The sequence below is a fragment of the Homo sapiens genome, chromosome 10 (genome assembly GCF_000001405.40).
Source record: "Homo sapiens chromosome 10, GRCh38.p14 Primary Assembly".
NCBI lineage: Eukaryota > Metazoa > Chordata > Mammalia > Primates > Hominidae > Homo > Homo sapiens.
In genome coordinates, this window is record NC_000010.11 from 30,025,808 (window position 1) to 30,050,469 (window position 24,662).

A 24,662-nucleotide genomic window follows, 5' to 3' on the forward strand; every position below is an offset into this window, starting at 1 on the left:
GAGCCCAGGAAGCAGCGGAGGTTGCAGTGAGCAGAGATTGCACAACTGCACTCCAGCCAGGCGACAGAGTGAGATACTATCTCAAAAAAATAAAATATACTGCAAGATCTTGAATTTTAAAGATGGCTTCTGGATAATTCTTCGAAAATGAGGAATCTTTTGATAAAACAATTCCCAGGGTCAACTTGATCTTTTCTGAATATGCAGATTTACATTATCCACCAACCTGGTATTTTGTACTGACTAAAAACTCCAAATGTATACTGAGCACCTGCCTGTCTGCCTGATTCCTCACCTGGGCACCAGAAGTCTTGATCCATGCTCTTCTCCTTTTGTGCTGCCGGATGCTCCTTCTCTTCCCTGGAGATGCTGTCCTTGGACACAGAGAGTGAGTGGCCCAATCTCTGGGCACGGTCCCCACTGCCAGGAGACACAAGGCCTCCCGGGAGCCCGGCCTGGCCCCTTGTGGTGGCCTTCAATTCCTCGGCGTCCTCCTGGGAGTCGGCATTCCTGAAGCTCAGGACTCTCATCCGTGACACTGAGCTCACCTCTTTCATTCTCATCAGGCGGTCAGGGTCTGCTCTCCTAGGCGGGGAGGCCAGTTTCTCTTGTAAACTTTCAATCACTTTGGAAGGGCTTCTAAGTCTCTTTTCAGAGCCTGCCACACTTGGGGTTCTTTCTACAAAATGGAATAAAGTGGACCTGAAGGGTGGTTTTGTTTCCACATCCTTTTGTTCGAAGAACTTGGACTCCAAGGGGCTGGGCTCAGGCTCAGGGACAGGGTCTGTGCTGGTGACAACCCCGTCCACATCTGAGTGCTCAAAAGCCTGAGGAGCCCGCCTGGCACTGTCCCTGTCCCCTACAAAGAGAGGGCTCTTGGTCCAGCCGCACTTCCTCCTGCCATAAAAGGCATCAGTGGACACCCTGGGGACATCTGCCGGTGCTGGGCGAGATAGCAACTCTTCCTGGGGGGACTCTGGGGTGCAGGCACTTGCATCGGGCTCAGCAGGCTGGTTCTGTCCCGCTCTCCGGATGCCCGGCAGGAGGGACTCCACCGCCACCTCAATGCCCAGGATCCTTGCAGCCCTGGCTTGCAAGGACTCACCTGGGGGGATTTCTATTGTGCTTGCTTCACCCAAAGACCCCTCTAGCTCACTGGCACCCTGTTCTTGCCCAGGGGTGAGCCCCACAGACCGTAAGTCTGGAGCTGAGAGCCCTCGGTTCTTGTTAGACAGGGACAGTGGGAGCCCTGCCCCCCTCTCTCCACCACTGTCAAACTTCCGAGGGACCGCTTCACTTGGTTTCACAGAGCTGAAAGCACTGGTGATTTTCGGACTTTCCTGGGGCTCCCTAGGTTCAGCTGGATAGGACGCGGGCAGTGGTTTTGCGTCACTTGATCTTGAAGACATTCTCGTCACAGGAAATGGGCTACCTGCCAGCTCGTCCATTCCGTTGCTAACCTCCAGGTGTCTCTTCTCTGCACTCGTGCTTCCATCTGCTGAGCAGAAAGGTGCACCGCCACCTTCTTCCACGCGAAAGCGGCCCGGGGATGGAGGCCAGGCACGTGGGTGGCCAGGCTGCAGCTCCTCACTCCAGCTCTCAGACTTACTCTCACCTCTTCCCGACCTACACACAGGGCTCTCCGGCACCCACATCCTCGGCTGTGGCTCAACCCTCATTTCCGGGCTGTTTCCGCGGAAGCCCACATCCTCCTGTCTGCAGTGAGCACGGTTCTCCTGCTGCGGCTCCGCCTCACTCTCCTCACTGCTGCTGCTGCTGCTGCTGCTGCTACTGCTGCTTTCTTCCTCTTCCTGGAGCTCCTTGTTAAAACTTTCTAACTGACTGATCAAATCCCAGGGACGACGGCTGACCGGTTTCAGGAGAAACTGCCCAAAGAGTTGTTTACTGTTGCAAGGGCCCGTGGGCTCCCCCTTCACCACCTCCCGCTTAGGCCCAGGGTGGGCTCCAAGCCCGTGGACATCCACGCAGGGCTGACTTCGGCCTGCTTTTGGCGTCGGTGCCTGGTCCACGGACAAGGAAGTCCTTGAGAACGCACTGTTGCTGGATGGGCTGAGGGACCTGTGACCTTTCAGGTTACGGGCACTTGGCCTCTGTTTGTGATCACCGGTAGGGAATGCTGTGTGCGTCTGAGCTTCGGAGGCAGCAGGGTCTGAACATTTTGGACTCAATGCTGCACGACTCGGCCCTCCCAGCTTTGCACCAGGGAGCAGCTGCGAACTTTGGGGCTCCTCGGAGAAACTGGTTTGTGTTTGCTGATCTCTGTACCGGTGCCCTGGCCAAGAGCCAGAATGCTTGAGTTCTCTGTGCTTTGTAAGGTGGATGAAACTGAGGTCATTTGTTTGTCTGTCTTCTTCTGGTTCCCCTAGATCTTGTTTTTGGAACTCCGTTCTCCCACCCATGCTTCCTGTGAGGGCCTGCAGCTCCAGGTCGGTGGAAGACATGCTCAGCAGACTCTGTTCTTGCAGAGCCGGGCTCTTATCAGACCCATTCTTTTGATCAGCACTGGGCTTTAAGTCATTGTTGTCCATATCTCTATCTGGCAGATGTGATTCTGATTTCACTGGGATAGAAACCAAGCAAAATATAGTCTCGTTCATTTTTTTCTTTGAACTTTTCTTGGTCCGAGTCCCAGTTTGGAACTTTTTGAGCTTGGTTTGAGTTTCGCAGGTGCTCTCGCCCTGTGAGTAAGGGGAGGAAACTTGTCTTCCAGTGTGCCCGTGCTGGCTGCCTCTCACATCAGGCCACTGTCCCCTTGCCACACAGCGGTCTCTCTGGTTGGGGAGGCCACTGTTTTCCCCATCCCCGGGGGGCTGGCCCCACAGCCACCGGGGGCTGGAATCGGCCAAGACCAGGCCTCTCTCATCCCCCGACGGGGGTATTAAGCTCTGTGGATTCCAAATGGCACCATCAGGCTGCATTCCTCCATGAGCCGGCTCTTGAGCAGTGACAGGACTGGAGTTATATGATTTATCGTCAAGCTTTATGTCTTCACAGAAACCCTGGGGCTGAGCTAGTTTAAAATGTCGTAACCGTGGATCATCAAAGGGAATGTACTGAACGAAGCCGTCATAGGCAGTGACAGGTCGGGGATGTGCGGGGAGCCCCTGAGGCAAGCGGGGGCTCACACCATACTCATTCCCAGTTCCAGGGGGGCCTGAAGGAGGCTGACCGCTGGCCCCAGCCTTCTCGGTCGGAGACTGCTGTTGACTGTGACCGCCACACACATTTATGGGCACCGTGTCTTCCAAGTAGGGGTTTGGGATGTTCTGCGGGGGCGATCTGTATGAGGGCGGAGGCACGTACACTGGAGGTTCCAATCCAGGGTCTGACAGGCAGAGCTCATGCCTGGGGACATAGGCGTCCATCTGCTGGCTGTCCTGAGAGTCACTGCTGTCCGCTCCTCCCCTAGACTGCTGGTGCGAGCTGTAAGATGGGGGCTTGAGGGGCCTCCCAAACTTAGGCCGGGGAAATGGGGCTGAGCAGCCACTCTTCTCAGAATTCCTCGTGGAGTCCAAATTTGGTGCGCAAGTGGGAGGATACGGTGGCATTTTAGGTGAATGTCTTTCATTTAATGGAATGGGAATTTCCGTGCAACTCAGGCTCTCGGGGGAAAGAACTCTAGGCAGTGAGCGAGACTTCCCTTTGTTTTGAGAATTCAACACATGTTCTCCTTGAATGAATGGGTACAGGTCTTGAAACAGTCTCTCCCCATCTCCATCAGACATCTGCCTCCCTAATTTCCTTGGCTGGTTCCAGCTTTCCAGGCTGACGTTCTGCCACTTGGCAGGACCTGACATTCGCAATTCTTCTTCCCAAACTGGCTTCTTCATCACATGCTCTGACCTTCCTCCAACTTCCCATGGACCCTCCCTCACGTGGACAGGCAGGCTGTGGGCTTGGGCCATTCCTCTGGCCTCCAGGTTTTCGTGCTCCCTCGGCTTCTGGCTCCTGGCTTCTTGCCGTCCTCTTCTCCGGTAGGCTTGGTCGTTACCAGTCGGGGGATGAGAGGACCATGCTGAGGGGGGTTGATTACAAAACCTACAAAACAAAGAGTCACAGACGTTAGGCACAGAAGAAACATGTCTTCATCTGCTTCTGTGACTGGCATTCGAAGTCAAACTCAGGTCAGCAACTTTGAAAACTTGGTTCCCAGCCACAGTACTTGCCAGCTTGAAAGAAAACATATCCCATTAATTATGGTTGGAAGACAGCCACGTGTTTTGGCATCAAGGGCCAAGAAGGGGCAGCAGTGGGCAGCCCACAAGAATACAGGGATGTTGGGTGTACTCCAGCGATGTCAAGGTCCTTATAAACATTAAAATGTCTGGTGGAAGGCCGGGCACCGTGGCTCATGCCTGTAATCCCAACACGTTGGGAGGCCAAGCTGGGAGAATCTCTTGAGGCCAGGAGTTTGAGACCAGCCTGTGCAACATAGTAAGACTCTGTCTCTACACAAAATTTAAAAATCAGCCAGGCATGGTAGTGCCCACCTGTCTCAGCAACTCCAGAGGATGAGGTAGAAGAATTGCTTGAGCCCAGGAGTTCGAGGCTGCAGTGAGCTGTGATTGCGCCACTGCACTCCGGCCCGGGCAGCGGTGAGACCCTGCCTCATAAGGAAAAAAAAATGCCCAAGGGAACAAGGGTTAACTGTTCAGTAGTATTTCTCAAGGTGTGGTCTTGGACCACTTGCAGCATATTGCCGGCTCAGTCCAGACCTCCTGTGCAATCTCTGGGAGGGAATCTGGGAACCTGCTTTTAAAAACACTGTTTTTAAGCAAGGGTTCTGAAACTTTAGTGAGAATCAGAATCACTGAGTCCTGGAATTGCTAAGAGAGAGATTGCTGGGTCCCATCCCCAGCTTCTCATCTGGCGGGTCTGGAGAGGGGCTCTATAATCTGCAAGTTCCCAGATGATGCTGATGCTGCTGGTCCCAGGGCCTTACTTTGAGAATCATCATTGCTGGTGGTTGTTCACCCTGACTGCACATTAGAATCCAGGAAGACTTCAAAAATCCAGATGCCAGGCAGTATCCTAGACACATTACATTACAATCTTAAGACGTGTGGGTGGTAAATGGAGGGCGAGGCAATCAGGCATCCGAGACTCTCCAAGTGTCCCCGGAGATTCCCAGTGTGCAGCCAAGATTGAGAAAGATGTCTCTAGCAGAGTCCCCTCATCTCTCTGATGGTAAGCATCACCCAGTGGGCTTGTAAAATATACACATTACCAAGTCTCTCCCACTGAAAGTTCAGACTTGGTAGGTCTGGGTTAGGGCCCAGGCATTTGTATTTATATTTTTATTTATATATTTATTTTTGAGACAGGGTCTCACTCTATCACCCAGGCTAGGTGCAGTGGTGTAATCATGGCTCACTGCAGCCTCAAACTCCTGGGCTCAAGCAATCCTTCCACTTCAGCCTCCCAAGTAGCTGGGACTGACTACAGGCACTCCATCATGTCTTGCTAATTTTTAAGATGTTTTTGTAGAGATGGGGTTTTGCTGTGTTGTCCAGTCTGGCCTTGATCTCCTGGCCTCAAGAAATCCTCCCACCTCCGCCTCCTCATGTGTTGGGATTACAGACATGAAGCACCATGCCTGGCCCATCTGTATTTTTTTTTTTTTTTTTTTTTTTGAGACTGAGTCTCGCTTTCGCCCAGGCTGGAGTGCAGTGGCACAATCTCGGCTCATTGCCACCTCCGCCTCCTGGGTGCAAGCAATTCTTGTGCCTCAGCCTCCCGAGTAGCTGGGATTACAGGCACCTGCCACCACACCCGGCTAATTTTTGTATTTTTAGTAGAGACGAGGTTTCACTATGCTGGCCAGGCTGGTCTCCAACTCCTGACCTCAAGTCTTCCGCCCACCTCGGCCTCCCAAAGTGCTGGGATTAGAGGAGTGAGCCACTGCGCCCAGCCCCATCTGTATTTTTTTTTTTTTTTTTTTTTTGAGACGGAGTCTTGCTCTGTCGCCCAGGCTGGAGTGCAGTGGTGGGATCTCGGCTCACTGCAAGCTCCGCCTCCCGTGTTCACGCCATTCTCCTGCCTCAGCCTCCCAAGTAGCTGGGACTACAGGCGCCCGCCACTACGCCCGGCTAATTTTTTGTATTTTTAGTAGAGACGGGGTTTCACTGTTTTAGCCGGGATGGTCTCGATCTCCTGACCTCGTGATCCGCCCGCCTCGGCCTCCCAAAGTGCTGGGATTACAGGCGTGAGCCACCGCGCCCGGCTCCATCTGTATTTTTAACAAGCATTTCAGAGGATTCTTATCCTCAATTTTGGGAAACACTGCTAGGGCTTACATTGAGATTGTCTAGAGGAAGAGGGGAGCCCTGTTCATGGGGTGAAACTCTCTGCAAGGCAGGAAATGGTAGTATCAAATGCAGGGTGTTGTTCACTACTGGGCCACACATTAGGATTTCCTTGTGAGCCTTTAAAAAATACCAAAGCTCAGGGCCCATCTCCAAATATTTGGATTTAATTGGTCTAATGAGGAGCCAGTATATTTCAAAATCTCCCAAATGACTCTAGCATGCGGGGAGAGTTCAGAATCACAGTTCTAATGCAACCAAAGGAAAGTATCTGAAGAACATAATGTGCAGAAATATTAAGCTACTACCCATGAATGATCAGAGACTAGGGCCATGTAATAGGGAAAAACCATTAACTGGAAGGAAGTTCAGGGGACTCAACAGTTTTGATTAACCATGGGCCGGGCTGACTTGAAAAATGTTTCAAGTCTAGGATAGCTGTTTGCTTTTTAAATTATTACAGTAATGGATTCATTGTTGAAAATGAATGTTGGAAGAATATAAAAAAGTACAAAAAACAAAAATTGCTTATACTCTTTCTACTCAGAGATGGTTACTTTGATACATATCTTCTCACCTGTGTGTGTGTGTGAGGATGTGAATTTTTGAACAGCCTGGGTATTCTACTAGATATCTGGTATTATGTGAACATTTCCTGACACTTGTAGCACAAACAGCAGCAGCTGCTTACACGGTGGTTGCTGTGTGCTAGGTCCAAGCCATGTGCTTTCTGCAAACTAACTCATTTAAGCTTCACCAACATCCTTCTGAGGTAGAAGCTACTGTCAATACCACTCTACAGAGGAGGAAACTGAGGCACAGGTGTTAAGTAACTTGCTTAATACTAACATCTACTGGGCACCCATGCTGTACCATGCATGGTGCTAAGCATGCCAAGTGAATTATTTCATTTCAACGTTATAATTACCACTACTTCCCGCTTTTACAGATAAGAAAACTGAGGCACAGGTAGGTTAAATGATTTCCCCAAGTTACACAGCCTGCAAGGATTTGTGAAAGAGCTCTAAGCCAAGAAATGTGAACCTAAAACGCTCAATTAACCCTGCATTTTACTTCTTCCAGTGTAATGAAAACGCCCTCAGGTGCTTAATGTTCATGGATGAATTGTATTCCCTCACACACACAGGATTTACTTAACCCTTTACCAGTGTTGGACATTGATGTGGATTCTATTCTAAAACACTTTGAAAAACACTATTGTTCACAAACACGTGATGTAGGTCTCAGATCATTTAGAGTAAGTCCTTAGAAAAGAAGTGAGTAGATCATGGGGTGTTGTGTGATGCATGTTGTCAAACTGACCTTAGATAAACTATCCAATTTATAGTCCCTCCTGTCGTGCAGAGGAGAGCCGGTCTTGCTGAACCTTTTCATCCCTAGTTATTACAACTATTTTTCCCCATAACTTCTCACTACTTTAATTTGCATTTCTTTGATTACTAGTGAGGTCGATTTCTTTTTCCCCATGTGCTTAGGTGTTATTATACATTTTGTGGTTTCGAATGATTCCAGCAACACAGTCTGCTTTTCAGCTGGTGGCACAGCAGAGTGAACACAACATGAAACTGGGAGGTGCAAGGCCACCAGTTCTATGCAGCAACAGTGCGTGAAGCCTGGAAGAGTCCCTGCTGGGGCCTGGGCTGCAGGAGAGCCCTTCCAATCACAGAGGCAGAAGGCTGTGGGCAGGAGCCCTGGTAAAAACTTCTATTTTTATTGCTACTATTCTTATTTTGGAATTACCTCTTTGCCTTAAAAGGTAAGGATAGCCCCTCAAACTCTGTATCCAAGGCCGGGTGCAGTGGCTCATGCCTGTTATCCTAGCGCTTTGGAGGCTGAGGTGGGTGGATCACCTGAGGTCAGAAGTATGAGACCAGCCTGGCCAACACAGTGAAACCCTGTCTCTACTAAAAATATAAAAATCGGCCGGGTGTGGTGGCGGGCATCTGTAATCCTAGCTACCCGGGAGGCTGAGGTGGGAGAATCGCTTGAACCCGGGAGGAGGAGGTTGCAGTGAGCTGAGACCATGCCACTGCACTCCAGCCTGGGCGACAGAGCAAGACTCCATCTCAATAATAATAATAATAATAATAATAATGATAATAACAATAATTCTGTATCTACTTCTACCCCCTGTTAACTTGTTAGGCAGTCATTTACAGCAAAGCTTAGTTATGGGCTGGAAAACCAGAAAATATCCAAAATCAATCTGAGGTAAGACATTTGCCACTGAGCAGCCTCAATGCTTCTGTGTTAACGACCTGTACATGGTATAAGACCTGTACTGTCTTAACACCGGGCACGGTAGGAGGTCACAATTTCTGTGTTGCTTTTGTTGTCATTGAAATTATGTTTTGAGCATTTGGGTTTTGAATGCTGAGAAGACTGCTTCCTGGTCAGGTTCGACACAGATTAGTCATTTTGAAAGCCATCGTCACTGGCCCCTCTGCATAGCCCCTTTCCTCCCTCCCTCCCCACTTTAGCTGAGCCAGGCTTGCAGCTCCAGAAGCCACAGAGTCCTCCCCTGGGGACTCCTGTGTGACCGCCCATCAGTAGCCTGAGAAATGCTGTAGAACATGAACCACTGAAAAGTCTTCAGCACCTACTGTCTATAGGCTCCCAGACTCTATAGAAAATCCAAGGGCAAGACTTAAAAACTACCATGTAATAAGGCATTACAATTGTTACACCCCACTGTGAAAGGCTAAAAGAAATCATTAGGAAGTATGCGGTTGGTGCTTTGCATCAGAAACAATCTACCCTCTTACCTCTGCTCTTAGGCTGATGGTGAGTAGGCTTTTATGAAGCACCGTTCTCATTCCTGACAGTCCTGTGAACGCTTTCCTGGATTGCATGACTTTAGGGAGGAAACCGTACCGTGTGGCTTTGACGCGTTTTTCTCAATTGATATTCGGGTTTCACAGTGTGCTTAGAGAAGGGGCTAAAATCCTAAGGTGCTACTTGTGCAAGTACACGCCACGAGCATAATCAGAAGACAGATAAAAAATGACAGAAATAGGACAAGAATACAAACAGCCTGTCACTTCCTACAGAGGGAGCGTGGTTGGTTTTCTTCTCCACCCAAAAATGTTACACTATCACTTTAACTTTGTCAAAACTGCCATATATAACAAACCAAAATAACTAAGAATTTTGGGTTAAACTTCCTTCTGTTTGCACAAGGTGCCAAAATTCCAATTTAATAAAAATACAGGTCATCCGGGAAATTTTAAATTATCTACTTTGCAACGCAGTCCACATGACATAGAAAACTATAAACCATTTAATTAATAAACATCTATTTTGTACCTAGCAAGGGCTGGGCTCTGACAGGTGCAAGCGGACTCCCCATGGGGGTCGCTCTGGTAGATTTCTCCTTCAGACAAGTTAGCAAGAATGGCTCTTCTAGTAGCTTCGCTATAGGACGCCCATTACCAGCTAAAATGTGTACTGCTGCATAGGGTTTCAAAGCCAAAAATATATTTTCTGATATGTTTAAGGAAATGAGATCAAATTTTTCTTTTTAGAAAAATGAAACTAATTATCTTACATTTTAAAAGACATTAACAATGGCACTTCTAGGAAAACATGCTGAACACATTAACACAGGGTGGGAAAAAGATAAGGAAAGCAAAGTGGAATGTGATCGCCCAGACAAATTGTGTCCATGAGTTCAATGGGACAAGCAGGGTCTTTACACAGAATTCCCGGGTGAACGGGACGGAGATGAAACAGAAGTTACACTTGCCAACAGCCCCATCTCTCATCTCAGGAGAGATGAGGCCAGCGAAACAACTACTAGCAACTGCTTGGGAAACATCTGAAATATGAGCATGTGAAAAACAATATGTTTAACAGAAAATGAGCAAGTCTATTCACTGCATATGCAGCAGCTAATTATGAGAAAAATTAGGAGACAGTTCTGTTCATTCACATGACTCCTTCTCAACCACAATGGAAAATGATACCCTTCTTTTAAAAAGTGATTCTCCTTAGAATAGCAACATTTGGGCTGGGCACAGTGGCTCACGCCTATAATCCCAGCACTTTGGGAGGCTGAGGCGGACGGATCACCTGAAGTCAGTAGTTCAAGACCAGCCTGACCAACACGGTGAATGAAACCCCGTCTGTACTAAAAATACAAAAAATTAGCCAGGCGTGGTAGTGGGTGCCTGTAATCCCAGCTACTTGGGAAACCGAGGCAGGAGAATGGCTTGAACCCAGGAGGTGGAGGTTGCAGTGAGCTGAGATTGCACCACTGCACTCCAGCCTGGGCAGTACAGAGCAGGACTCCGTCTCAAAAAAAAAAAAACAAAAAAAATGCAACATTTGGAATGCCTGTAACCACTGGCTCACATTCCCCATCTTCTCAGTGGCCTCCAAGGTCCTCATGAGCCACACTGACTTGTTATCACCCAGGCAGCTGCAGCCTGGCACTGGGCCTGATACCCAGGAGCACGGGATAGATGTGTGGATTAACTTAAGAAATCAGCCAGAGGCTTGCTGCCTGCCTAATGAACTGGGGGTTCTGTGGGAAGTGAGACAAACAGTTACCCTTCCCTCCTCCATGAACAAAATCCTGAGCCTGGTCCTCCCGTGGGGGCCCTCAAAGTCCAGTCAGCCATGCTTCGCTGTGGTCATTGGGGTGGGGCTGGGGAGGCCCCATTAAAGCCATGCCTTTATCCAGCGATCCCTTCCTGGTTCCCAGATCTGCAGTCTAGCAGATGCCTGCTGCTTTCCATTGCTTTCCAACCCTAGTGTCATGTTCTAGACCAGTGGATGGTCATGACACACTGGCCTAGCCTGTTCCTTCAAAAGCCCCTCCCCTTCCGGAGGCGTCTGTATCTAGGCATTGGTATCCAGATACAGAAACTGACCGCCAAGGCTGTAGGTCTCACTGAAAGAGCCAGGAGCAGCGTTCTCCTCTGGTTGGCAGAAGGGGCTTTGGGCATCTCTTTAGAGCGACTCACATTCACCAACCCCGCTGTCAGGTGCCTAACATGCTTCTGTGATGGCCTCAGCCATGTTCCGCTCCAGAATTTGCTCTGAAAGCTCTCTGGGCCTGGAAGCCTGCAATTTCTTTTTTCAGCATGATTTGGTCTATTCAGTATACCACCCCGTGCAAATATCCCTCTGATACAGGGTAACGAATGGGCTAATTTTGGAAAGGGGAAATCTGGGGTCCGGAGAAGATGAAGACTGAAGTATAGAGGTTAGCATAAAATTAAAGGTCAGTCAGAAAAGAGAAAACTGCTCTGAAAACATAATGGATGAATATTACTCTTCAGCAAAGTTCAATTTGAACAAGAATTGTAGGTTGCGCTGGCAGAATGGTAACTAGAAAATCCACAAATGCCCAGTCAGACTGCTAATGCATTGTCAGGCCTGCTTTTTATGATGTCACAATGAATGACTCTAGATGACAGGCAGTGCAGATTCAGTTAAAACATAAAGTACCTGGCGGACTATTTCTGGAGGTTACAGTTTTGTTATTAAAAAAAAATACACAAATAATGGGTCTGGAAGAGGAAGCATAATAAATTTGAGGACTCAGAAGTGATGCTAAATTTGGACATTTGAAGAAGGGGCACAGGAAAGCAATTCAAAGGCACTTGAGTTATCAACGTGCACAGAGGAAATTAAGTAGGAGGCATGTTGGAAAGGCACCCACTGATATCGACCTGGATGGAAGCCCCTGAAGTCGCAGTTCCTCCACAGCATGGGCTTTGAACTCCTGCGCTTGGGTCTGGCTTCCACAAAGATGAACTCAGAATGGAAAAATTAAAAAAAAAAAAAAAAAAAAAGTTGGAAGCCATTGCCACTACAGTGCCAACCTGGCCAGCCACAAGACCATAATATTTTTTAAACTCTGACGGCTAGAAATGGACACAAATTGCTCTTTTGTGGTTGCCAGCAGGTTTCTGAATCATCTTTGGGTTAGGGCTTCAGTAGACTTTTGATTTTGCAAGGTCTAGTAAAGAACTTTTATACACACAAGTTAAGTCGGAGGCCACGGTCCACCGGCCCCACCCCTGGGACTGGGTTTTGGGGTTGTTGCTTCCTTTTCATAAATTAGTAAATTCACAACTGGTGCTGATGTGAAGGATGGCGCCAGCTTGGAAACTGTCATGGTAATTCTAGTAGTGTTTAATGCACGTAACAAAATCAGGGGCTGGGAGACTACTCATGCAAGGGGGCGCCTCATTGATGTGGACCACTGACCAACCTACAGGTAGCGAAGACAAAGAGAGAGCCGGCACGGAGGTTCATGCCTGTAATCCCAGCACTTTGAGACGCTGAGGTAGGAGGATCGCTTGAGCCCAGGAGTTAGAGACCAGCCTGGGAAACATAAGGAGACCTAGTCTCCACAAAAAATTTAAAAAGAAAAATTAGCTAGATGTGGTGGTGAGTGCCTGTGGTCCTAGCTACTCGAGATGAGCGGGAGGATTGCTTGAGCCTGGGAGGTCAAGGCTGCAGTGAGCTGAGATGGTGCCACTGCACTCGCCTGGGTGACAGAGAGAGACCCTGTCTCAAAATAAAAAAAAAAAAAAAAAGAAAGAAAGAAAAGAAAAGAGAAAGAGAAAGAGAGAAGAGAGAAGAGAGAAGCAGGATGGAGCAAAGGGATACAAATGAAGGAAGAAGGGTATAGGTCCATGTGGAAGGAGAAGGAAAACAATAACCTGGAGAAAAGGTAGGTGGAGCTTGTGAGGGCTCCTGGGGCAGCCGCCAGCTGCGTGTACTAATGTGTCCCCGATGAAGGTGCTAGAACCTCTCACTGGGAGTCAGGGTATCTCTGAACAACATCCTTCCTGCAACTGCACTTCTAAGGGAAGAAAGCTGGGTCATAAACCCCTAACCCCCGACTCACGCCAGCTATTTAAATGAGCCCACTCCTTTTACTGATTAACATGGCAAGGACGCACTGATGCCTTCTAATGAATGTAAAGGCAAGAAGCCACACTGGGTGGCCCTTACTTGGAGGCAGACTCCCTAGAGGGCCAGATGCTGACGCCCCTCCCATGCTAGGATCCCACTGATAGAGGACCCTGTCCCTCCACATCAATGATCATCCTGGGAGCATCCCAGGTCCTACAGGAAGCCACCCCTGAGGGTGTTGTCACAGGCAGGGACAGGAAGCACTAGAGAAATGGTTCCCCACCCGAGTGACTAGGAGAAGTCCTGGTGACTGCACGCAGGGCAGACACTGTTCCCTCCCACAACGTGAGGCCCTTCCCACCTGATGGGTGGGCAGCTGGACCGGCCTCGGCTTCTGATGCCTCATCTGTACTGCAGGGACAGAATCCTTCCTTTTGAGTTTTCTGGGAGGGATGAAATGAGATAATACCTTCAAAGTGTTATTCATCACTTTCTTGTGGATTCCCTAACTTGAGGAAGAAAAGGTATAGATGGAGAAAAATAGGCTGAGAAAACAATGTCTGTGGCCAGTCCTTGGGGAGCCGGATGAACCTGCAGTTGACACCCAAAGACGGCTGCCCAGGGTCAACGGAACAGTCCAGGCTCGGGGCACGTGCAGAGGGGTGGTTTCTGGCTTCTCATCACACCAACAGGGAGCAGTGTTGGAACGTTGCCAGGAGAGTGGTGAGCAGCTGCCCTGGGCACTGGAGGGGCGGCGTGGGTTTAAAGGCCAACACCACGGCTGTCCAGTGGAACGCTGTCGGCAGCGTCCTTAACTGCCCCTGCCTCTGATGCCTCATCTGTACTGCAGGGACGGACTACGCCTTCCTTTTTGTATCCTGGGAGGAATGAAATGAGATGATACATTCAGAGTGTTTAGCACAGTGCCTGACACATAAGAAGCCCTTGTTTCATTTGGTATTAACTCAATTAAAATACATTCTCAATGGAGTAGGTTATCTTGAAGCTCTGTTTGCTTGATCGCCTGGGGAAGGGGGTGCGGGTGGCACACAGGAAAGGGTGAAGAACCGAGTGTCTGTCTGAAGGTGATGATTATTTCAGATCGGCATTGTCTTTGTCTAAGCTGTAATCAACAGGCCTTCACAATGCCAGGAAAGAGTGACGTAGCTGACTGTCATCACAAGACGCTGCTCCTCCTGGGGATGGCTGGTCTCTGATGAAGAAGCTACACCCATTTCCACAATACGGATGCAGAACAAACCAGTATTTCATTTATTAAAACAAGGCAGGAAGAGAAGCTCTAATCCATTCTCTCTCATGCGTATCTAATAGGTAAGGCAGATTATTTCAGTATTTTCATATTTTCTCTTTAATAAGGGCATGTCAGATTTTTACCATGTTAAACTGCTTTCACCAGTGTGAACCACAGAGTGCCATGATAGACATGGAGAAAGACCAGCCTCGTTCTCATTTGCCTTTTTCTAGCACCACTCTTGCTTTCATTTACTTATTCATTTATTCAACAAATATTTATGGAGTATTCGCGGTGCCTCCGACCCACGGTTCTTCAGAAGCCAAGATGAGGGCTGTGAGGAGCAGAAAAGGTGGTCACTAGTCATGGGTTTCTGAGAGCCTGAAGGACCCTGCAGCTGGGTCTCTGGTGATGACACCCTAGGGAGGCCGCCTAAAGGCCCCAGGCCCCATAGCTGCACAGCGGCCCACCAGTGACACCCCCAGTCCACAACCTGTCCTTTGTCGAGAACGCAGAGGCACAGCCATCTTTGAGGCAAAGCGGCTGGACCAGAAGACCCACTCGGGTCTCTTTTGGACCCCCGTCTCACATTCCTACCCTTGGTGTCTCTCTGTGGGGCATTTCTTAGCTCTCAGACTCATCCAGTTCTCTAGCTGAAGGCAGAATTCCACACGAACAACTCTCCTCTTGGGGATGGCATAACCAGCAAGATGCATGAGGCCCTCGGCAGTGCTGCCGCTGGATCTTCCTTGTCACTCCAGAAGCCTGCACCTCCACACCACTGCACCTCCAGAAGCCTCATGTTCAAAGGACACAACCTGCTTTTTAGTGGGGAAACTGGTGCTGGTAAAAGCTACATGGGGCACATGCAGGAGACAGGACCAGCTTCCAGGCGCTTCTGGAAGTTTCCACACTTACGAACGAGACCAAGGAGAAGGGCATACAGAAGACAGTGAGGGAAGAGGCGGCCTGTGTCTTCCTGGTGTTCATGAGCATGCCAGCCCTCAAGAAAGAGAGGCTTTGCCTCGTAACAAGGTCAAAATACCAACAGCTAATGCTTAGTATGGAAACAAGCAGTGAAAAGGCAAATCGTGTTTGAGGATTCATAAGTTTGTAAAAGAAAGAGGAACATAGAAACAGATGTTAAACTTGAAGCATTCTCTGTTTTTGGAAAACCCTTATAAGCAGGATATGATTTAAGAGAAGCTTTAAAAGACCCTGAAAATGAACTGTTTACCATATCCAGTAGCACTATCTAGAATGGATGTTTACTGATCAAATAGAAACCTCCCAAGATGAGGGCCCCAGACCACCACATCAGAGACTCTCCCTAGGTTGCTAAGTCTCTCATTAGTTACAACTGCCGCTGATGACAGGAGATAATTACAAGTTATTCTCATGGGTAACTAACAAAAAAATCTTACCAGAATTCCTGGGGCTATGCAGAGAAGAGCCAATTATGGTATAACTTTCAGCTTCAAACCTCTGCTATGTTAAGTGTATTTTACAGCTTCCTCTGATTATAATATTTCAAAGGAAACACATTAAGGAAACCCTGAGTGCCTGATAACAGCCTTTTACATATTTTAATGGTCGTTAAGTATTATTTAGTTTTGGCTACTTGTATTTTAAGCATGCAGTTTCCTCCATGTGCAGATAACACAGTTTTTCCTCTTTGCCTACTTCCTCTTACTGTGTGTGTGTGTTTGTGTGTGTGTGTGTTTCAGCAGGCAAGCTTTGGACATGGCCTGTGAGTCTTTTCCTGGACCACGTCAGTGCCTTTCATGCAAAGCCCACAGCCAGTTTCATCACTACAGTCTGTTAACTGAGACCATTTAGGAGCGGGCTAGCATCTAGATGAGCTCTCTATGGAGTCAACGACTTAAAAAGGGGAAAATGCCAAGTCTTTAGTGTTATTTGTCAAATTGTCTGTGAAGAGAACATGTTTTGGGGTACACAGGGAGTCCCTGTGGCCTGGAAACTGTCCTCACCCGCAGCACCTGCAGTGGGGAAAGCTCAGGCACCCATGCCTGGTCATTCCCTCCTCCCCATCCAACCTACCTCTCCCTTGTCCAGCCCCTCCCCTCTGATCGGAGCGGGGAGACACCCTAACCCAGTACTCAAGCATCCACCGGCTGTCTGAAACTCAATTTTTTCAAAAGTTTCAACTAAGAGATGCGGGCAGTTGACAGCAGTGGGTTCTGAAGCTAAGCCATCAAGGGGAGCAAGGGCGGAGTCTAAGTCTCTGCCAGCCAGAGGTACGGGGAAGCAGAAGCTGTCAGGGAAGGGAAGAGGAGCAAAACAAGTACCCGGAGACGCACAGATGGGTGGCAATGGGAGGCAGAGATGGGTGGCAATGGGGGACAGAGATGAATGAGTCCCCAGGGGAATAACCCACAATCCAGGGGGACACCTTCTCATTCCATTTCTAATGAGGCCAGCCAGTTTTTCTCCATTTCCTATGAATGGTCCGTGAATCTCTCCATGAATCCTTACAACGACCCCTCCCTTTCCTTTCAGGTAGGTTCCACTTCCTGCCTCCCAAAGGATCTATGAAGGAGGGAAACTTTACTGCTAGGAAGTCTTCAGCCTGGGGGCAAGGAGGGCCCCTGAGCCAGGGGTCCCACAGTCAGGCTTCACAGTCCATCTGCTGTGCTTTAAACGCTGGTAAAGTTACCAGTCATACGAATGATGGCCCAACACGTTAACATGTAGCTTCAAAAAACAATTACTGTCTACTCATCAATTTAGATAAACTATGTATGAAGGAGAACCAACTCTTGGTCCTTCTCCACTACTTGCACCTAAGAGATTTTTAGCAAGTTCACATGCTCCTTTGTCTTTCTCCCCAACAGAATTGTCATTCTTCTCCTGTCCTAGATGCTCAGTACTACTTGATCTGCTAATAGTGAAAGCTCAAAGCAACAGCCCCCTCAGCACATTAGGAAACAAGTGTCCTGTATGCTCAAAAATCTCATCAAAGCTTCATGTTTGTGTTTTGTTTTTTTTAAAGTTTTACTAGAAGTCCCTCGAGTAAGAAAGGGAAAAAGAAAAAAAAAAGTAAAAAAATTTTACTAGATAGAGCTGGTCTTTAAATCAGAAACTCTGTTCTAAACTGATACTAATCATTACAGGGTAAGGAACAGTCCTGACCATTCTCACCAGACAATGCTGATATTCCAGCTAAGCCCCAGATGATGGATAATCCTGCCTTCCATGTATGCTCCCTTTACAACATCCACAGAAGAGCAGTGTTATGTGCATTATCTCGTGTAGACAGGTCAGGATGCAGTCTTTATAGGCCTCTCCCAGACAGGAAAGGGACACAGCTGGGCTCTGAGAGCTGTCACACGTCCATGCATGCCAGGGGGAGGGTGGAGGACAAGGGACTGAGAAAAGACCATCCAGCGATGGTAACCCCAGGAGCTCACAGAATCAAGTGCTCCTTTCAAACGAAAACAGGCCTCACCTGGGGAGAGCTCAGCCAGGCCCAGTGCTGCTGCAGGGTGGCAGCCCCAAGGCATCTGGCAGCCCGGGGGGTGGGGAAGTTGTGGCTCAAGCTGGGCTCCCTCCATTGCTGCACTGAGCAGCCATTGATGGCCAGTGACATCCTCTGGGCTTTGTGTTGGCTATGGTTTAAATGTTTATTCTGTCTAAAACTCCTGTTGAAATTTAATTGCCATTGTAACAGTATTAAGAGGTGGGACCTTTAAGAGGTGATGAGGTAATGAGGGTTCCACCCTCCTAGGTGGGATTGGTGCCCTTATAAAAGGATGAGTTCAGCCCTCTCTTGTTTGATCTCACTCTCTCACCTTCCACCATGAGATGACACAGCAAGAAGGCCCTCATGAGATACCACCACCTTGACCCTGGATTTCCCAGCCTCTAGAACTGTGAACTGATAAATTTCCATTCATCATAAATTACCCAGCCTGTTACAGCAGCACACATTGGATGAATGCAATGTTCTTCAGTTCTAAGATAATAATATTGCCAACATGCCTAGGTCTCCACTATTCTGTCAGAATAAAACAAATTTTCATTCAGCCCCTGTGGCCTTCCAAATGACCTTGATCTCCATCTTTCCCAGGACATGAGTGGGGTGTTGAGGACTGGCTCAAAGTGTGGGGACACACTTTAAGGCAGCCCTCAACCAAGAAACTGCAGAAGAGGAACTCTCGTGACCCTTCCCAATCACGCTGATGGCTTCAAGTTGGACAGGGCTATCCCGGGCCCCAGGTACCCCCTAGACCGGGAGGCCAGCCCAGCAGAGGTCACTGTGTGGGATGGAGGAGGCAGCAAGACCACAGCTGTGCTTTTGAGTAACCAAAGACTGGGATCTGACAGCACCATTTATTCATCAGATTCAGAATTCACATAAGCCATAGCAGTATTGGCTTTTTTTTTTTTTTTTAAATTTAAGCTGTTAACTATTGACACCTATTTACTTTTTCCCAAAGCACTTTGTTTCTGATGGGGAAAAACAATTCTCCTTCATGCCTACCTTTCTGTTTCCCTCCAATTTTCAGTTCTCTATTGGGCACCTAAAAAAAAAAAAAAGTCTTTCATTTCAACCCAGGGAACCTTGCAGCCAGTCTCTGAAGCTTGGGGCACTGGCAGGGATGTCTGCAAACATGTATGCATTTGCTATTTCTACCCTAGGAGCCAACCTTCAATCCAAAAGCCACTCTACACCATCTAAGTGAATCGGCCAATCTCAACAACATGGACAAGAGGCCAGATCTGTCGAGAACTCTGTCATCTGTATGAAAACATCCCAGGGCTACACAAAGCCACTTATCTGAGCCCTTCACTCAGGATGGAAACAAAGGCAGCTTGCAGATCTGATTATGCCGTAGTCCTCAGGAACCTGTTACCACACAAGGGGCTAGAAAGTCCTGAGCGAGTTGTGGATGAGGTTGGCGGCCACACTGCCCACACAGAATTCTAAAGGGGATTCTCCTGCCTCCCACCGTGAGACTCAACTCTGATCCAGCCCCTCAAATTTGAGGGAGACCCCACGTAACCTACATGGTCCATCTGCAGGGATTCCATAGCCCTGTCTTTACTTCATTAGAAACTGACCGTTCTGCTTTTCAACAGTTGCTACAATTGGGGAAAGAATAAATTGAGCACATGAGCATGTATTAAATAACCATATATGCCCTGTACTGTAAGACTCTGTACAAGAAACAAAAGAAATAGGAGACAAGGTACAATCTCAGTACCTTGATATCCAAGTTGGAAGGTACAAATATACTCAGCAGAAAACTAAATGAAAAAACAAAACAAAAACAAGCACCCGTTTGTGTGGTAGTCACTAAGGTTATCTGAACCCTCAGACAACTCACCCATAAGACCCCTTTTCCAGCTCCATGCTGGAAAATGGCAGCCAAGAAAGTGAAGGCCTTGACAGTAGTCGACAGAAGTGTGAGTTCTGAAGCACAAGGTGAAAGAGAAACAGCTTCCAGCCCCTTCTTCATTGTGATTTTCCCCCCTGAGCCTGGCTCCATCAGTGCTAACTCCTCTTGCTCCTCGCTGGAGAAGCATCTGACTTGGCAACTTAAACCTGCTTTTACTACGCTGGGCAGAAACGAGGGCTCTCACCTTTGCTTTTCTCCAATAATGTGTTAAGTGCTCTGACTAAAAACAAAATCCTTCCCATTTTTGCCTGAAAACTGTCAACCAACAAGGAAGGTCCTTTGTCTGCAAGGGTGACCTCGAACCATGGAAGGCGAGTTCATTCCCATCAGACTTGCCTGTTTTGTGTGTTTGTTTGTTTTTCTTAAAGAAAGGTCCCTGATTCCGTCTGTGTCCTTTGTCCATATCTAACTGCTGACATGCAGTTACATAACACGCTCTGTAGACTCAGAGCTCTTCCTCCCCAATCTGTGCCTGGTCCCAGTGCAGCACTAAAGGCAAACACAGTGTTAGGAAGGGATGACAAAGGTTTCCTCCAGGTGGAAACCGCCTGGGAGAGGGTTTCAGGGCTCCTCTCCCAGCCTGGCTCTGTGGCAAGCTGCCGAAATTCTCTCCTTTTTTACCATCCTGTTCCCCTAGCTAAACCGCCCTCTCTTTTTGTTGTAAGGAAACACCCACAGATGCAGCTGTATTCAGATGGGATGCCCACATTAGGGCCAGTGTGCGTGCAAGGAAAAGATAGGTCAGAAGCCAATGGAATGATATGAATATACCAGAAGAAACGTTTTGTTTTACAAACGGAGGGGAATACAGAGCCCTTTTCACTCTCTGTAACCTGCAAAATATTGAATTGTGTTAATAAGAAAGCCAAATATACTGTGAATGGGTGCGTGGTTGTGAAATAGCTTTTACAAAGTTCTAAAATGACTCCTATCTGAGGCAAGATGAAGAGATTACAAGGGAACCAAGAAGCAGAGTCCTAACACATGGCATTTAGCATGACAGAATGTGTTTACTCACTGCTATTTATTGAAGGCCCATTATGGCCAAGCCCTGTGCTAAGTGCTGCTGGAACACCCTGAATATCACAGTGGAAACAAGTGATCTTGGGCTGGGTGTGGTGGCTCATGACTCTAATCCCAGTGCTCTGGGAGGCTGAGGTGGGAGGACTGCATGAGGCCAGGAGTTAGAGATCAGCCTGGGCAACACAGTGAGACTCTGTCTTTACAAAAAATAAAAATTAGCCAGGTGTGGTTGTGTGCACCTGGCCCAGCTATTCGAGAGGCTGAGGTGGGAGAATCACTTGAGCCCAGGAGGTCAAGGCTGCAGTGAGTTATGACTGCACCACTGCACTCCAGCCTGGGCAACAGAGTGAGACCTTGTCTCTAAAAAAGGTGGCCGGGTGCAGTGGCTCACTAATCCCAGCACTTTGGGAGGCCTAGGCGGGCAGATCACGAGGTCAGGAGTTCGAGACCAGCCTGACTAACATGGTGAAACCCCGTCTCTACTAAAAATACAAAAATTAGCCAGGTGTGGTGGCACATGCCTGTAATCCCAGCTACTCAGAAGGCTGAGGCAGGAGAATTGCTTGAACCCTGGAGACGGTTGCAGTGAGCCGAGATTGCACAATTGTACTCCAGCCTGGACGACAGAGCAAGACTCCGTCTCAAAAACAAAACAAAACAAAAAGCAAAAAAAGTGTTCTTGTGTCTAATACCATTTCTCCCTCCTTGGCCCTGGCCAAATATAGATTTGAAAGAGTTTACCTACACATCACCCACCGCCAAACTCCTGAGTCAAAAGAAAACGGTGGGTTCACAGTGAAACTTACCCCGCCTCCGAGGTTCTGGAAGCAGAAGTGCTCTGGGGCTCCCCGTGGCCTCTCGGTGTGCTGCGGCGGCTTTCGGAGTCACTCACATGTCCTTTCCCCGCGGACGTCTTACGATGTGCGAGGGCCGCAGGGCCATCCTCATGCCCGTTCTGCAGGCCCTGGCCTGCTCGTGTCCCAGTCCTCGCTGCCTGGCGCCCCTTGGGGTTATCCTCGCGTGATGCTGGGGGGTCTCTTGACAGCTTGTATCCATGAGAGATCAGGAGGTCTTCTACACTGTACATGATGCCTGGGCTTCAGCAAAGCTCAACCACTGGAACCATGGTGGTGGCAGGACCCAGCACTGCAGGACAACAGAGAGCTCTATTTGTGACTAGGTCTCCCTAGAGGTCAGTCTGACACCTCCTCCTCCCGTGGTCCCCCCACCAAACCAGACCATGGCGATGGACACAGCACAGAACCTGCACAGAAAGAGGGGACACAGGGATGGCTCTGCCTGAAATTACTCTCCATTCTATTCACCTAGAAAGTGGGTGTGGCTCTGACTCTAAATGATGTGGTGGAACCCTGAGGACCTCACCCTTCGATGGCTGCCTCTGGTAGAAGAGCATGTGGCACGGTGCTTAAGCAGTGACATGATTAACACTGTCCACCTTCCCCTTGTCCCACTCACCTACAAACAGCAGGCGGAAGGAGTGCGGACAAAAAAAATACAGACCTGGGAGCTGCAATGACTGCTTCATGTTTCTAAAAAGAGAAACCACCAATATCCAGCTTAATCTTAGGACACGCCCCTGCTTTCATCTTGTAGACATACCTTCTGCTCTAGGAGAGAGTGAGATCTTTAATCAACACAGTCATGATACAATTCAGCGGAAGCCATCGAAACAGCAACTGCCAGGGCAGCCACCCCGGGGCAGTTAACTAGCAACCAAAAATAGATTTTAACTCTTTGGGTTCATGACGAGAAAACAACACACTGATCAATCATACACACCCAATTCACTACACAAGCCCAGAGTTCTCTTTTCCTTATGAAAGTCTTTTTTTTTTTGAGATAGAGTTTCACTCTTGTTGCCCAGGCTGGAGTGCAGTGGCATGATCTCGACTGCCTGCAACCTCCACCTCCTGGGTTCAAGCGATTCTCCTGCCTCAGCCTCTCGAGTTGCTGGGAATACAGGCATATGCCACCACGCCTGGCTAATTTTTTGTATTTTTTTGCAGAGACAGGGTTTCACCATGTTGGCCAGGCTGGTCTCGAACTCCTAAACTCAGGTAATCCACCCGCCTCTGCCTTCCAAAGTGCTGGGATTACAGCCATGAGCCACCACACCCGGCCTCCTTATGAAACTTTTATGAATCAAATTTCTTCCCAGTAGATCTTGGGGAAAAGTTTTTGCATCTCTCAGCCAAGGATGTCCACACCCAAATCCTGCTATAGTACCTGAATCAACAGCAGCAACTTCCTCCAGTGTAAACTGCACAAAACAAGAGTACCCACAAAGAAGAATGAAAATGGGCAGAAACCTACCTACGAGCAAAAGAGGGAGAGCCGCCCTGTTTATTCCTACATGAGAACATCTTTCTTCCTAAGTCTTCCCTTTGATGATAAGGCGTAAGACGGATTGGTCAGACGGATACACCCACCACTGCTTCTACGGGGGCTGATGGTAATGCTGGCCTGGGTGAGAGACACACAAAAGCCACAAAAGCCAGCCCCATCAAAAAGCTCAGCCAGCTCCAACCCCACTTCACTGGTGGACGGAAATAGAGCCGCTGCAGCCATGGCGAACAATGGCCAGGAAACGCCTGCTGGCCCGTGTGCAGGTGAAAGGAAGATGCCTGCGGCATGTGCTTCCTGTCACTGGGAGCTCTTACTCGGGTCTGTCGCACAATTCTGCTTGCCTGTCCTCACTCTTCATCACCTGCTAGATTACAGTAGGGAAAGTCTCGCCTGTCAGCATGGAGAGTATCAAACTTTGGAAGTTGATAATTTTCCATTATGTCCCTACATTTTATGGAAGCTGACAAGCTCTGGCAGCTACTGTACTAATAGAAAAATCTCCATAGCAACTCTGCCACTCCTGACACTCCTACTGCATGTCTTTCAAGGAGTTGTACAACTTGGGTCATTTGCTTCAACAGACAAAGAAGGACCAGAGAAGCAAGGGTTTGTTCTTTAATTCAACAGAGTAAGTTCCACCATGGGAGGGATTACAGAGGAATGAGATCCCATCACAAGCAAAGGGCTTTAGGAACACAGAGTCAGGCTTTAGGGCAGGGTCTTTGGTTTGTTTGATGCTTTATCCCCAGCAACTTGCACACAGTATGAACTCAATAAATACTTGTTGAGAAAATGCACAAATGAGAGACAGAAGTGTTTGAGCTAGGTTTTGAAGAATGGTTAGGAGTTCATTAGGCAAAGAGCATGTGTTTGTGTATGAGAAGGGGAACTGGCATTTAAAATAGATTATGAGTAGAATTATCCCAAGGGTAAAGAAATGGGGCCAGGCACAGTGGCTCGCACCTATAATCCCAGCACTTTAGGAGGCTAGGTGGGTGAATCACTTGGGGCCAGGAGTTTGAGACAAGCTTGGCCAACATGGTGAGAGCCTGTCTCTACTAAAAATACAAAAATTAGCCAGGCATGATGGCAAACACCAGTAATCCCAGTTACTCAAGAGCCTGAAGGAGGACAATCGCTTGAACCCTGGAGGCGGAGGTGGCCATGAGCCAAAATCATGCCACTGCACTCCAGCCTGAGTGACACAGCAAGACCCTGTCTCAAAAAAAAAAAAAAAAAAAAAAAAAAAAGAAAGAAAGAAAAGAAATTAATGGCTTAGTAACAGAATCCTGGCAGACTAGAACAAAGTCCCCAGGCTCACTGGTTCAACATCACACACAGGGTCAGCATCACAGTTAAAGTTAGCATTAGGTCTCA

At 48.3% G+C, this 24,662-nt stretch overlaps 1 protein-coding gene across 4 annotated transcripts in view, besides 8 other annotated features; it reads right to left on the minus strand.

The window, feature by feature from the left end:
* JCAD (junctional cadherin 5 associated) overlaps positions 1-24,662 on the minus strand; it is a 102,692-nt gene that overhangs the window by 13,005 nt on the left and 65,025 nt on the right. For 2 of the 4 annotated variants that reach the window (NM_001350021.2, NM_001350001.2), the window contains exons 2-4: positions 21,725-22,064; positions 18,977-19,016; positions 296-4,059 (exon numbers count right to left, since the gene is read on the minus strand). In NM_001350021.2, the coding sequence (NP_001336950.1) occupies positions 296-3,926 (3,631 nt within the window). In that variant the 5' untranslated portion in view covers positions 3,927-4,059; positions 18,977-19,016; positions 21,725-22,064. The remainder of the gene's footprint in view (positions 1-295; positions 4,060-18,976; positions 19,017-21,724; positions 22,065-24,662) is intronic. The other 2 variants (NM_001350022.2, NM_020848.4) reach the window with 1 other exon arrangement.
* Positions 1,532-1,591: an enhancer, noted in NCBI's record as "active region_3196". NCBI's record gives its function as "activates an Ori minimal core promoter by ATAC-STARR-seq in GM12878 lymphoblastoid cells {active_cell/tissue: GM12878}" and the evidence as "EXISTENCE:reporter gene assay evidence [ECO:0000049][PMID:35858748]".
* Positions 1,772-1,841: an enhancer, noted in NCBI's record as "active region_3197". NCBI's record gives its function as "activates an Ori minimal core promoter by ATAC-STARR-seq in GM12878 lymphoblastoid cells {active_cell/tissue: GM12878}" and the evidence as "EXISTENCE:reporter gene assay evidence [ECO:0000049][PMID:35858748]".
* Positions 2,560-3,289: an enhancer, noted in NCBI's record as "H3K27ac-H3K4me1 hESC enhancer chr10:30317296-30318025 (GRCh37/hg19 assembly coordinates)". NCBI's record gives its function as "activates a minimal SCP1, AML or CMV promoter by ChIP-STARR-seq in naive H9 embryonic stem cells {active_cell/tissue: H9 hESC(naive)}" and the evidence as "EXISTENCE:reporter gene assay evidence [ECO:0000049][PMID:30033119]".
* Positions 3,290-4,018: an enhancer, noted in NCBI's record as "H3K27ac-H3K4me1 hESC enhancer chr10:30318026-30318754 (GRCh37/hg19 assembly coordinates)". NCBI's record gives its function as "activates a minimal SCP1, AML or CMV promoter by ChIP-STARR-seq in naive H9 embryonic stem cells {active_cell/tissue: H9 hESC(naive)}" and the evidence as "EXISTENCE:reporter gene assay evidence [ECO:0000049][PMID:30033119]".
* Positions 8,786-9,382: an enhancer, noted in NCBI's record as "OCT4-NANOG hESC enhancer chr10:30323522-30324118 (GRCh37/hg19 assembly coordinates)". NCBI's record gives its function as "activates a minimal SCP1, AML or CMV promoter by ChIP-STARR-seq in primed H9 embryonic stem cells {active_cell/tissue: H9 hESC(primed)}" and the evidence as "EXISTENCE:reporter gene assay evidence [ECO:0000049][PMID:30033119]".
* Positions 18,104-18,376: a silencer, noted in NCBI's record as "fragment chr10:30332840-30333112 (GRCh37/hg19 assembly coordinates)". NCBI's record gives its function as "represses an EF-1alpha promoter that drives an FKBP-Casp9 reporter gene in an ReSE screen in K562 erythroleukemia cells {active_cell/tissue: K562}" and the evidence as "EXISTENCE:reporter gene assay evidence [ECO:0000049][PMID:32094911]".
* Positions 21,639-21,698: an enhancer, noted in NCBI's record as "active region_3198". NCBI's record gives its function as "activates an Ori minimal core promoter by ATAC-STARR-seq in GM12878 lymphoblastoid cells {active_cell/tissue: GM12878}" and the evidence as "EXISTENCE:reporter gene assay evidence [ECO:0000049][PMID:35858748]".
* Positions 21,709-21,818: an enhancer, noted in NCBI's record as "active region_3199". NCBI's record gives its function as "activates an Ori minimal core promoter by ATAC-STARR-seq in GM12878 lymphoblastoid cells {active_cell/tissue: GM12878}" and the evidence as "EXISTENCE:reporter gene assay evidence [ECO:0000049][PMID:35858748]".